The sequence below is a fragment of the Homo sapiens genome, chromosome 1 (assembly GCF_000001405.40).
Source record: "Homo sapiens chromosome 1, GRCh38.p14 Primary Assembly".
In the NCBI taxonomy this organism is placed as follows: Eukaryota; Metazoa; Chordata; class Mammalia; order Primates; family Hominidae; genus Homo; species Homo sapiens.
Genome location: NC_000001.11, coordinates 24,106,288 through 24,117,866, shown reverse-complemented (window position 1 = coordinate 24,117,866; position 11,579 = coordinate 24,106,288). Strand labels below are relative to the sequence as shown.

At 53.9% G+C, this 11,579-nt stretch overlaps 1 protein-coding gene across 1 annotated transcript in view, besides 2 other annotated features; it reads left to right on the top strand.

The window, feature by feature from the left end:
* Positions 5,022 to 5,530: an enhancer, noted in NCBI's record as "H3K4me1 hESC enhancer chr1:24438827-24439335 (GRCh37/hg19 assembly coordinates)". NCBI's record gives its function as "activates a minimal SCP1, AML or CMV promoter by ChIP-STARR-seq in naive H9 embryonic stem cells {active_cell/tissue: H9 hESC(naive)}" and the evidence as "EXISTENCE:reporter gene assay evidence [ECO:0000049][PMID:30033119]".
* MYOM3 (myomesin 3) overlaps positions 5,732 to 11,579 on the top strand; it is a 56,095-nt gene continuing 50,247 nt past the window's right edge. Inside the window, exons 1-4 of the mRNA NM_152372.4 lie at positions 5,732 to 5,836; positions 9,213 to 9,391; positions 9,794 to 9,874; positions 10,635 to 10,794. Coding sequence (NP_689585.3) covers positions 9,231 to 9,391; positions 9,794 to 9,874; positions 10,635 to 10,794 — 402 coding nt within the window. The 5' untranslated portion in view covers positions 5,732 to 5,836; positions 9,213 to 9,230. The remainder of the gene's footprint in view (positions 5,837 to 9,212; positions 9,392 to 9,793; positions 9,875 to 10,634; positions 10,795 to 11,579) is intronic.
* Positions 10,219 to 10,759: an enhancer, noted in NCBI's record as "H3K4me1 hESC enhancer chr1:24433598-24434138 (GRCh37/hg19 assembly coordinates)". NCBI's record gives its function as "activates a minimal SCP1, AML or CMV promoter by ChIP-STARR-seq in primed H9 embryonic stem cells {active_cell/tissue: H9 hESC(primed)}" and the evidence as "EXISTENCE:reporter gene assay evidence [ECO:0000049][PMID:30033119]".

Sequence of the window (11,579 nt, the reverse complement as noted above, 5' to 3'; positions counted from 1 at the left end):
GGCAGCCCAGGCCTGCAGATAGAGCTGGAACCAGCCAGAAGGCAGAGCGTCCGCATACCCTGGAGCTGGCTGGGGACCTCATCGTTCCTGAGAGTCCTGGGTCCGATCCCATTTCCAGGAATCTCCACAGCCCCACCCTGCCCAGCAAGAGAGGTGATTCTCCAAGTTTTCACTTGCCTACAAGGTATGGCACAGTCAAGCCCAGGAATAAATGACTAGTAATATAATAGTAGCAGTAGTCAAAGTCATATGAAAGAGAAGAAGTCAACCGTGTTGCTTGGCCGTTATGTACTTGATCATTCATCCTCCTGGTACCCTTCTCTCCATGATAGGTTGTATTATTGATATTTCGCAAAGGAGGAAAATGTGTCTCAGAGAGATTACTTGCCCTAGTTCATGAAAATACTCTGGGAAGCTTACTAAAAATACAGCTTCCCCAAGCCCACCCCAGACCTGCTAAACTCACAGTTTCTAGGAATCTGGTTGTTTGTTTTTGAGACAGAGCCTCACTTTGTTACCCAGGCTGGATTGCAGTAGCATGATCACAGCTCACTGCAGCCTCCACCTCCCTGGCTCAGGTGATCCTCTCACCTCAGCCTCCCAAGTAGCTGGGACTACAAACACCCACCGCCATGCCTGCTAACTTTTGTATTTTTTGTATTTTTGTCAACAGGTTTCACCCTGTTGACCAGGCTAGCCTCAAACTCCTGGACCCAAGTGATCCTCCACCTTGGCCTCCCAAAGTGCTGGGGGGTATCTGCATTTTTCATAAACTTCTTTGGTGATTCCTCTGAAGCAAGTTGAGGGAACAGTGCCGTTACACCATCACTTTCTCTCTCCATAGCCTCAAATCAGCGCCCTAGAGGGACCCCCATTACACCCGCTGTTGCAACAGAGTTGAGGGTGGGGGTACTGCATGGCTGTGATGCCTGCAAACCTCTGACCTCCCAAGCTCCCGACTCTAGGAACATACAGGGCTTGCCTGAGTTTCCACCCAGAGAATTGGACCAGCAGGACTGGAGCTCCTCCAGATTTCCAGACAGCCAGAGCCTCTGTCCCTCCCAAGTCTGAGTGTCAACCTGGACAGGGAGACTATGGCCTGATGTCACCAATGCTTGTCCCCTGTCGCTGTCCCCACCTGCATTCCAGACCATGGGACAGAAACAATAAGCTGAGGCAGGTATTGCCAGAGAGATGGAGGCAGCCCCCACCTCCCCTGCTGGTGCTGACGCTGATGAGACAACTCTGAGACCCCAGAGCTGCTGCTCAGCTCCTTTGGCTACTTGAGCCCATTTTTCCTTCCCACTCTAAGGAGGAAGGGGGAGTAAGGAAGATATGCTTTGGCCAGTCCGTATGAGAAGAACAGCAGTTGCAATTAACTGGACTCCGAGAGCGACAGGGAGGGACGGGAGACTGAAGCAGGTACAGTGTCGCCACACAGGGGGAGAAAGCCACAGGCTTGGTTGCTGTCGGAGAAACAGCATGGAGGTTCAGAGCAGTCAGTTTGTTCTTAATGGTCATAAGTCCAGGGAAGGGAATAAAAGAGAAAAGAAGGCAAGGGGAGAAAGAAGAAAGATAAGCCAGGTACTATAGTAGGTATTTTACACATTTAACCTTATCTGAGTCTCCCAGCCATTCTGCAAGATAGGCAATTGCTATAGTCTGAATGTTGGAGTCCCCCCAAAATTCATATGTTGAAACTTCATGTAATAGTAGCAAGAGGTGAGCCCTTTGGAAGGCCATGAAGGCTATGCCCTCAATAATGGGATCAAGAGGCCAGCATGGTGGTGATTCAAGCCAGTAATCCCAGCACTTTGGGAGGCCAAGGTGGGAAGATCCCTTGAGGCCAGGAGTTTGAGACCAGCCCGGGCATCACAGTGAGACCCTGTCTCTACAAAAAACGCAAAAATTAGCCTGGTGTGGTGGTGCGTGCCTATAGTCCCAGCTACTCAGGAGGCTGAGGTAGGAGGATCACTTAAGCCCAAGAGGTTGAGGCTGCAGTGAGCCATGACTGCACCACTGCACTCCAGTCTGGGCAACAGAGCAAGATCCTGTCTCGGGGAAAAAAATAAAAATGGAATGGGATTAATGCCCTTATAAAAGAGGTTGAAGAGAGTGCCCTAGCCCCTTCCACCACATGAGGACTCCACAAGAGGCACCATCTATGATGCAGAGAGCAGGTCCTCACCAGACACTGAATCTGCTAGCACGTTGATCTTGAACTTCTTGGTCTCCAGAACCGTAAGAAATAAACTTTTGTTATTTATAAATGACCCTGTCTAATGTATTTTGTTGTAGCAGCTCAAACGAACTAAGACAGTAACCATTCACTGATTCATTTTTCTTTTTTTTTTTTTTTTTTGAGACGGAGTCTCTCTCTGGTCTCCCAGACTGGAGTGCAGTGGCGCCATCTCAGCTCACTGCAAGCTCTGCCTCCCGGGTTCACCCCATTCTCCTAACTCAGCCTCCTGAGTAGCTGGGACTACAGGAGCCCACCACCACGACCTGCTAATTTTTTGTATTTTTAGTAGAGACAGGGTTTCACCTTGTTAGCCAGGATGGTCTCGATTTCCTGACCTCATGATCCACCTGCCTCGGCCTCCCAAAGTGCTCGGATTACAGGCGTGAGCCACTGCGCCCAGCCCACTGATTCATTTGTAAATAAATGTGAATTGAGGGCCAGGTGTATGCCAAGCACTGTTCTCGGGGGTAGGGATATGGTCAGGCAGGCAAGTTCTCTGCTATCTTGGAATGTGTCCTCCACCTACAGAGAAAGAAACTGAGGCCCAGAAAGGAGGCCAAGGTCCCCCTGTTAGTGACTGAGGCACCAGAGGTTGGGATTTAAACCAAGGCTTGTATAACATCAAGTCATCTAATCTCTCTGCTCAGCCGCATGACCTTAGGCTTGGCCATGTTTACAGAGGTTCCAGTGATGACTGAGTGCTTCACTGGGGTGAGGTCAACAAAGGGATACATGGGAATCCCACCCCCAGAAGCATGGGGTAAGAGAAAGCCATCAGCATTCCTAGAGCTTTCATTTAGCAAACGTCTGTCCGGGGCCAGACGCCGTGCTGGAGGTTTCACGGTTCTTGGTTGAACATTTTCTTTTCTTTTCTTTTCTATTCTTTTTTTTTTTCTTTTCTTTTTGAGACAAAGTTTCACTCCTGTCACCCAGGCTGGAGTGCAATGGCGCCATCTCAGCTCACTGCAACGTCCACCTCCTGGGTTCAAGCAATTCTCCTGCCTCAGCCTCCCAAGCAGCTGGGATTACAGGCGCGCCCCCACCACACCCAGCTAATTTTTGTATTTTTAGTAGAGACGGGGTTTCACCATGTTGGCCAGGCTGGTCACGAACTCCTGACCTCAGGTGATCCACCCGCCTCGGCCTCCCAAAGTGATGGGATTACAGGTGTGAGCCACCATGCCCAGCCTGATTGAACATTTTCAATGAGACAGCTAAGTGGAAATTGTTGTCTTCAACTGTACAGATAATCAAACCACACTGGCTGAGTGCCTTCCCCAAGGTCATCCAGCTAATAAGTGGTGGGACTGAATTGAAAGCCTAAGCCGGTTTGACTCCAGGATGCACCCTGTCTCTCCAGTGCACCTTCATTCATCTCCCCAGATTGCCTTGGGAGGACGGGGCTAGAGGACCTGTTTAAATGACTGTCTCCTGCTCAGTTGGAAGCTCAAAGCCCTCTTTGCTGTTCGTACGGATTCACTCACACTCATCCCTCACAGCAAATGTATGAAGATGAGTCTTGGAAAGCCCTTGTTCGATTGGGTCAATAGAAGATGGGAGAGAAATGTTCTCTCCCAAAAGATGCTGTAAGAGAGAGCCACAGAAGAGCTTAGAAAGGGGTTTTCAAATAGGGCAGGGGATTCAGATTTTGCCTGCAAAGTTCACTTGTGCTCTCTCTCTCCTTCTCTCGAGTGAGGAGTCCCTGAGGCACCAGCAAGAGTGACAGGTGTAGTGTGGGTGGCCACCTGAGGTCGCAGGAAGGGGTGAGGGAGGGAAGCTGTGCTCTCTGGCTAGGGGCCGGTACAGCCTTCCCCTCACCGGCTCATCCTCTGAGACTCGACCCAGGTGCACCTTCCTGATCACCTCCTGTCGTAAGTGCCTGACTTCCCCTGTAGGTTAGGGTCTGGCATAGGGTAGGTGCCAATGAATGTGAGGGGGAAAGAATTGAGACTGAGGGAATGGCAGGAGAGGGCAAAGGGTGGGAAGAGGTGTGGTGCCGAACACCTATTAACCTCAGTAGGGAAGGCACCAGGTTTGAGAGGCCAAAGAAAAGATCCATAGCCAGCAAACGGAACATGGGGGTTTCAGGAGGCGGAGGTTGCAGTGAGCTGAGATCATGCCACTGCACTCCAGCCTGGACAACAAAGTGAGACTCTGACTCAAGAAGGAAAGAAAGAAGGAAAGAAGGAAAGAAAGAAAGAAAGAAAGAGAGAGAGAAGGAAGGAAGGAAGGAAGGAGGGGGGGAGGGAAAGAAGGAAAGAAGGAAGGAAGGAAGGAAAGAGAAAGAAGAAAGAAAGAAAGAAAGAAAGAAAGAAAGAAAGAAAGAAAGAAAGAAAGAAAGAAAGAAAGAAAGAAAGAAAGAAAAAGAAAGGGAGAGAAGGAAGGGAAGGAAGGAAAGGAAGGAACGTGGGGGTTTGTTAGGGGCTTGCCTACAGGAGAGAGAGTCCACTGGTGATGAACTGGACAGGAGAACCGCCTTACATACAGAAATGGTCCAGGGGCGGCGGGCTGGACAACATACCAGTGGCGGCCGACTGGGCAGGAAAACCTCAGCCCCTTGCAAACAGCATGCAGTTTATAGAGCATTTTCACTTTACACCATCCCCTAATGACCTCCACCTGGCAATCTTCATTTAACCCAAAACTCAGGGCCTCAATCCCCTGTATGGCCAGCGTTCCACCAGAAGGGACGGGACGGGGGCTCAGATATTCATCGTAGGTAAGAAACGGGTTGGCTACTCCCCAGATTCCTTAGCTCGGAACACATATTCAGGTCTTCCACACAGGGTCATTCTTGGAGCGTGCTTCAGTTATCCCTGTCAGGTGCGTTTACCCTATAAGAAGGCCCTTCAGGGGACACTCTGGCAGCCTGAGCAGTTTGCACAGTGAAGCAGTAGGTGGCTCCCCAGCTCCTCCTGCCTGCACCACACCACACACACATGACTGTGGTCAGGGCGGGGGCCGTGTAGTAACTACCGGAGTGGTGGAGGGACCAGGAGCCACACATTGCTGTTTTAGCCAGTGACAACTTCTGAGCACGAAACACTCACTTTTAGGTCATATTCCTTCCACCGTCTTCATGAAGTCCAGGTGCCCAGTCTCACTGTCTCCGTTTTTCAGAAGGCAGTCAGTTCAGGGAAGCTGAGCGCCTTCCCCAGGGCACCCAGTCAGCCGGGGCAGAATTCAGATCAGAACTCCCGACAGCTGAGAACGCCGCACGGGATCTGCCCTCCATACGACCATGCCTGAGCCGTTCCCTCCTTTCCATTTTAACAGGGGCTTGGGTTGGGCAGAAAGGACCCAGCTGAGAGGAGGAGCAGTGTGGGGGGACGCGGCGGACAGCTCCACCTGTCGCTGCTGCCCAGCAGGCTGGAGACACGGAATGGCCCCTCCCCTTGGCCCCCTGTCCCCGATGCCATAGTTCTCATCCATTGTCATTGTACTGTCTCAGTGCTGCTATATTTAAGACGGTGCAGTCTCCGGGATCGCATTCTTCTCCCGGTGCCCGCTGAGCCGAGGGCAAGAAGAGAACAAGGACCCTCTCGGCCTCAGGAATCTTCTCCCCAGAGACTCCTAAGTGGGCACACTGCTTCTGTGAGTCACCCCCAGAAATCAGGGTGGGGGAGGGATGCCTCCTAAGAGTCAGCCACTGGGGAGTGATATCTGTGGGTGCATGTGTGTGTGTGTGTGCACGTGTGTGTGTTTGTGTGTATGTGTGTTGTGTGTTGTGAAAGGAGCCTGGGAAATTTGTGCTGAGGCAGCACCCAAGTGAAAATGGGAGGGGATTCCAGAAACCCCTGCCCCATCCCACTGTTCTGTGTGGCCCTGGGTCTTCTGAGAGCTGAGCTGTCTGTGATGTGAAAGTTGCAAAAAAAAAAAAAAGAGTGGGGGCTGCCCTGGGAACTGGAGTCTTTCCTGTGATGGAGCAGCGATAAGCGGGAGCCAGGCTAAGCTGGCAAGTTCCACGAACTTAGAGCGGAGCTGGCTGAGCCCGGCTTGGCCAACCCCACAGGCAGGGAAAGAGAGCGAGCCCTCGGATCCCAAATCTTAGAGCTGGAAGGGATTTCATCCAGTGCCTGACAGGAAACCGAGGCCCAGACGGGAAAGGAGTTGCCTCAGCTCATGACTGGCAAGGGCAGGATTCGGCCTCGCGGAAGCTGGTGGAGCCACTGGCTAAGAACACGTCCCAGCCTGTGCCACCCGCCGCCCGCAGGATGTGTCTCTGCTCCCAGCCACCATCCGCCCCCATCGCAGCTCCTGGAGGGGTCTTGGCTCAACTGCTGTGCATTCCTCTTTCCCTCCTGAAGAAGGGGAGAGGCCTCCTCGGCAGATGGAGGCTTGGGAGGAAAGCAGAGGGGAATAGGGAAGGCCACGCAGTGGGACCTCTGGCCCAGATTTTTGCACCCCAAGAGAGGGAAGCGGGGGCAGTTTCCCCTCCACGCAGGCACACACAGTGTTCCGGGAAGAGGCACCCTGGTCCTTTGGGAAAGGGCAGTGAGGCCGCAAACTTGTCCCTGCTTAATACCACGCATCAGTCAGTGCTTTAAAAAGAATTGGTAGCTCATCCGCTAAAGCCAGGGGTCTGGTTGCTGGAGGCCCCGAGGTCAGGGACGAGCGCCAGGCCCCTGCCTGCTGTGCTAATCGGGAACAGAGCATCCAGGGGAAGGGAGCCAGTGGCTGGTGCCAGGGAATGTTAACTCTCAGCCACTGGAGCCAGGGCCATCGTGTCCCAGGAAAGCTGGGGCAGAGTGGGGGGTCCTTGCTCCACCTAGGGTGGTACCCAGCAGCTCTCCTCCTGGGCCATGAGGAAGAAAGAGCAGAATGAGCAGGGCTAGCCACTTCTTTGGGTGCAAAGAGAACTTCTTCCATCGGGAGGGAGTGATACGAAGCCAAAGAGGGTGACTGTCCCATTATGTCATTTGAGATGATTAGCAGGAGCCCAGGGAGCTTTAGGGGGCAGCCCTTGGTCCCAGCTAACCCTGCAGCCATCCATTCTCTTTTTCCTGATGCCCACAACTGCAGACACCCAAAAGGAGCAAACTTCTAGGAAGTAGAAGGGGTAAAAGCCCACTAAGACTGACCCTCCACAGCCCGAGCCCCAGACACCTCCACCACATGCCCCTTCCAGGCCAACGGCTCTCCAATAAAGCCAGTGGGCTCACCTTCCATGCCATGGACTTAGAGAAATGGTCACCTAGGTGCTGTGTTCACATCCAGGCAGAAGACAGCCTACACATGCACGCACACACACACATACACACACATGCACGCCCACACACACACACGCTGCCACCTCCAGCAGGACCCTCTAGAGAGGCAGGGGCCAGACAGAGCTGACCCCACAGAAGCTGACAGGAGCAGGCCAAGGCAGGCGGTCATCCCTCTTCTGTTTCCATCCCCACGCCTGGGCAGGAACCCTCCCATGCCAGAAGCCTGCAGACCAGGATTCCCACCTGGAGGAGGTGTGAAAGCCATTCCAGGGATTTTAGCTTTAGCATCAGGGGGGCCCTCAGAGACCCAGCAGTGACTGAAGCCCGGATATGAGAAAACTCAGTGCAAAAACCCACAGCCAGCGGGCACACGGGCCTCCCACACCCCTCGTTTGCCTCTCCATATCCATGGATCCGCTTCCTGAGCCTCCCCTGGGTCAATCTGATCCGGCCCCACTGGGCGCCATCACGGGCCTAGACTTGAGCCTTGGGAATGCAAAGGAGATGTGTACATTGCAATCCCCTTATAAGGAGAAAGGCCCTGTGGCCCACCGTGTCCCCAGCCTCTGCCACGGCCTGGCCTTGAATGGACATATGACATAGAGATCAGAAGGGCTAGGGGTTGGGCTAGGGATTGGCTGCCAGTCATGGCCCCACCATCATGCTGGGTGACCTTGAGCAAGTACTGCCCCTGTTCATCAGTAAAATGGGATAATAATGGTGCTGTCCTCATTTGGGTTATTGCAGGGACTGGGGATAATGCATTTGAAAACTAACATGGGCATGGAACATAGTAAGTTCTCACTATTGTTACTTTTAATTCACTTACAGTCTTGTTGAACAGTCAAGATGCACAGATACAAAATAATTACATAGAGAAAGCATTGTCTGAATCAATGCTAAATTGTGGAGTGCTAGAAAATAAGTACAAAAGAAATGAGAAGAGGGAAAATTCTAGGTGGCCTGTAGTCTTTCTGCAAGGCTTCTTAGAAAAATAATGCTAATGCCTAATACTTATGTTGTACTTACTAAGCCCCAAGCACTCATCTAACCTTCACAACTACCCTGGGAGGTTAGTAGACCCATTTTACAGATGAGGAAACAAAGTCATGAGTCTTTCCCAAGGTTACACACTTGAAAGCTGGGATAAGGAGCTGGGATCACACCCTGTGGGCTGGACTCAGAGTCTCTCTGCTAATTAGCATGCCCTCAGTTGGGGTTTGAAGCATGACTAGAGCCAAGCGGGCCAGGAGGAGGGGAAGGGTGTGCCGGGAGAGGAAACCAGCGTGGGCAAAGGCCCAGAGGTAGGACTGAACATGGCCGGTGCAGGAAGAATGGGGACGCCTGCCCGTCCTGAGTCATAGACACAGCCGTGGACATCACAGTTTCAATTACTCATTGTCTGGGGAGCTGAGGCCCATAGAAGCGAAAACCTTGCCACAGATCATACAGTGAGACAAGGGCTGGGCTGCAGCTGGAAGCAGCTAGAAGCCAGGGCCCTGCTCCCTAACGTGGGGGCTCTGCTCACTCAGCTGGGGAGCACATGGGGTGGAGGAGAAGCCTGGCTCAGAGCCCAAGGCCTGCCTCTGTCACCTTGGGCAGGTCCCTCTCCCTCTCAGACCTCAGTTTCCCTGTCTGCCGACTGCAGAGAGGACACCCCCACCCCCCATCCTGCCAGCCTCCTAGAGATGTTGGGAAGACTGCATGGGAGGGGATAGGCGGGCACCTGGTGGAATGACCGTGGACCTTGGCCTTCACAGGTTGTTGCTCTCGTAACCATGACTCTGCCGCACAGCTTGGGAGGTGCGGGGGACCCCCGGCCCCCCCAGGCCATGGAGGTTCACAGGCTGGAGCACCGGCAGGAGGAGGAGCAGAAGGAGGAGCGGCAGCACAGCCTGCGCATGGGCTCCTCTGTGCGGAGGCGGACCTTCCGCAGCAGGTGGGAGCCACAGGGTCCCCGCCCAGCCACTGCCCTGTTCCCAGGGCCCCCAGTCTGAGGAGGGAGGCCCAGCCTAGCCCTCTGGAGGCTCCAACCTGATGGGGGGAGGGACATCCCTGCTTTCTGAACCCCCTGTCTGAGGGGGGAGACACAATTGGCTCTCTGGAGACCCCCATGTGATGGAAGAGGCACAGCCCTGTCCTCTGGAAACCCTGTTTGAGGAGGGAAGCACATTCAGGGTCGGGGGGATGCAGCCTTGCTTTCTGAGACCCCAGTATGAGGAGGGAGGCACAGCCCTGCCTGCTGGTGCCCTGAGGCTGAGGTGGGCAGATGCAGCCCTAATCTCAGGGAGCCCCCAGCCAATCCTGCAAGAGCCATTTACTCCCCTCCTTCTGGGAGCAGCGAAGAAGAGCATGAGTTCAGCGCCGCGGACTACGCCCTGGCAGCAGCCCTGGCTCTGACGGCCTCCTCCGAGCTGTCTTGGTGAGTCAGAGAAGCTTCCCAGGGAGCCGTGGCTGAGGAGGGGCCATCCTGTCCAGTCCCCGGCCTCCCTGCTGGCCTTTCACCCCGAGTGTAAAGAACCTGCCCAAAATCCCACATCTAGAATAAGGGTCTAGACAGGAGTTTAAGCCCAGGGCTACCTGCCCTCAAAGCCCACATGCCACCCTCTGGAAGGGTGCACGTGTCATAGCGGGGGACTGTTCCCAAGGAAGAGGGTAGGGGCCTACTTCACCAACAGACTTCTGGGCTTCACGTGGTGGGGGAGGGGGCTAAGAATGGGACAGAAGGAGCAAGTAAACCAGGCCCCAGTTTCCCACAAGGCCAGAGACTGAGGAGGCCTCTGAGTGTGCCGGCGTGGAGAGGCAGCGTTCGGCTTGGGGCAGGGCCCTGGGCTAGGAGGCTTGGGTGGTGGTCCTGGCTGACCTGAAGCAAGTTGCTAAGCCTCAGTCCCTGCCCTATAAAATAGGGACACTAAGGCCTGGCCACTTGGCTGTCGTGAAAACAAGATGAACAAAGGTTTGTGAAAGAGCCTTGAAAACAATGAAAACAGTCAACTATTAAGGACTGACTGCAAGCAGGGCCCTTCCAGGCTGTTTTGGAGGCAAGGGAAGATGCAAAATCATGCATGTCCTCCAAAAGTTTAAAGCATCCTGGCACTGCTGGGCACAGGGAATGGAACTGGCCAGGATGCCCCAGGCATCCCCCATCCCTGCCTGAGCCCCGATGGCCTCTGTCACGGCAGGGAAGCCCAGCTGAGACGCCAGACCTCTGCCGTGGAGCTGGAGGAGCGAGGGCAGAAGCGGGTGGGCTTCGGCAATGACTGGGAGAGGACTGAGATCGCCTTCCTGCAGACCCACCGGCTGCTGCGCCAGAGGCGGGACTGGAAGACGCTGAGGCGGCGGGTAAGGGGGTGGGCCGTGGAGCCCCAGGGCCTGGGACCTGCGACGCACCACTTGCTGCCATCCTCACCCCCTTCCCAAGAGGCGGGACATCCAGGGCAGAGTCCAGGCTTTGGGTCTGCATCTGATGCCCCTACATTCCAGTGGTGTGACCCCGGGCAAGCGCATCCCTGTTACTGAGCCTCAGTGTTCTCATCTGTAAAATTGGGCTGGGCGCAGTGGCTCACGCCTGTAACCCCAGCACTTTGGGAGGCCGAGGTAGGCGGATCACCTGAGGTCAGGAGTTCGAGACCAGCCTGGCCAACATGGTGAAACCCTGTATCTACTAAAAATACAAAAATTACCTGGGCCTGTAATCCCAGCTACTCGGGAGGCTGAGGCAGGAGAATCGCTTGAACCCAAGAGGCAGAGGTTTCAGTGATCCAAGATCACACTACTGCACTCCAGCCTGGGCTACAGAGTGAGACTCCACCTTAAAAAATAATAATAATAAAAATAAAGTAAAATAGACGTCATTGTAAAAATTCTCAGTGCTGAGGTGGGATTTAAAGGAGACTGGGTTTGGAAAGTGACTTTCCCATTGCCTAGAACACAGAAGACCCTCAGGAAACGCTAGCCCTGATGAGTATCAGGATTTGAGCCACTCTCCACACTCCCTCCCCAGCTTCCACTTACACAGGCTTTCTCAGTGCCGTGTCTTTCACCCCCACACCCCCACAGTGGGTGAGGGATTTTGTTATCATCTCTATTTTACCAATAAGGACACTGAGGACCTGCCTATGGTCCCA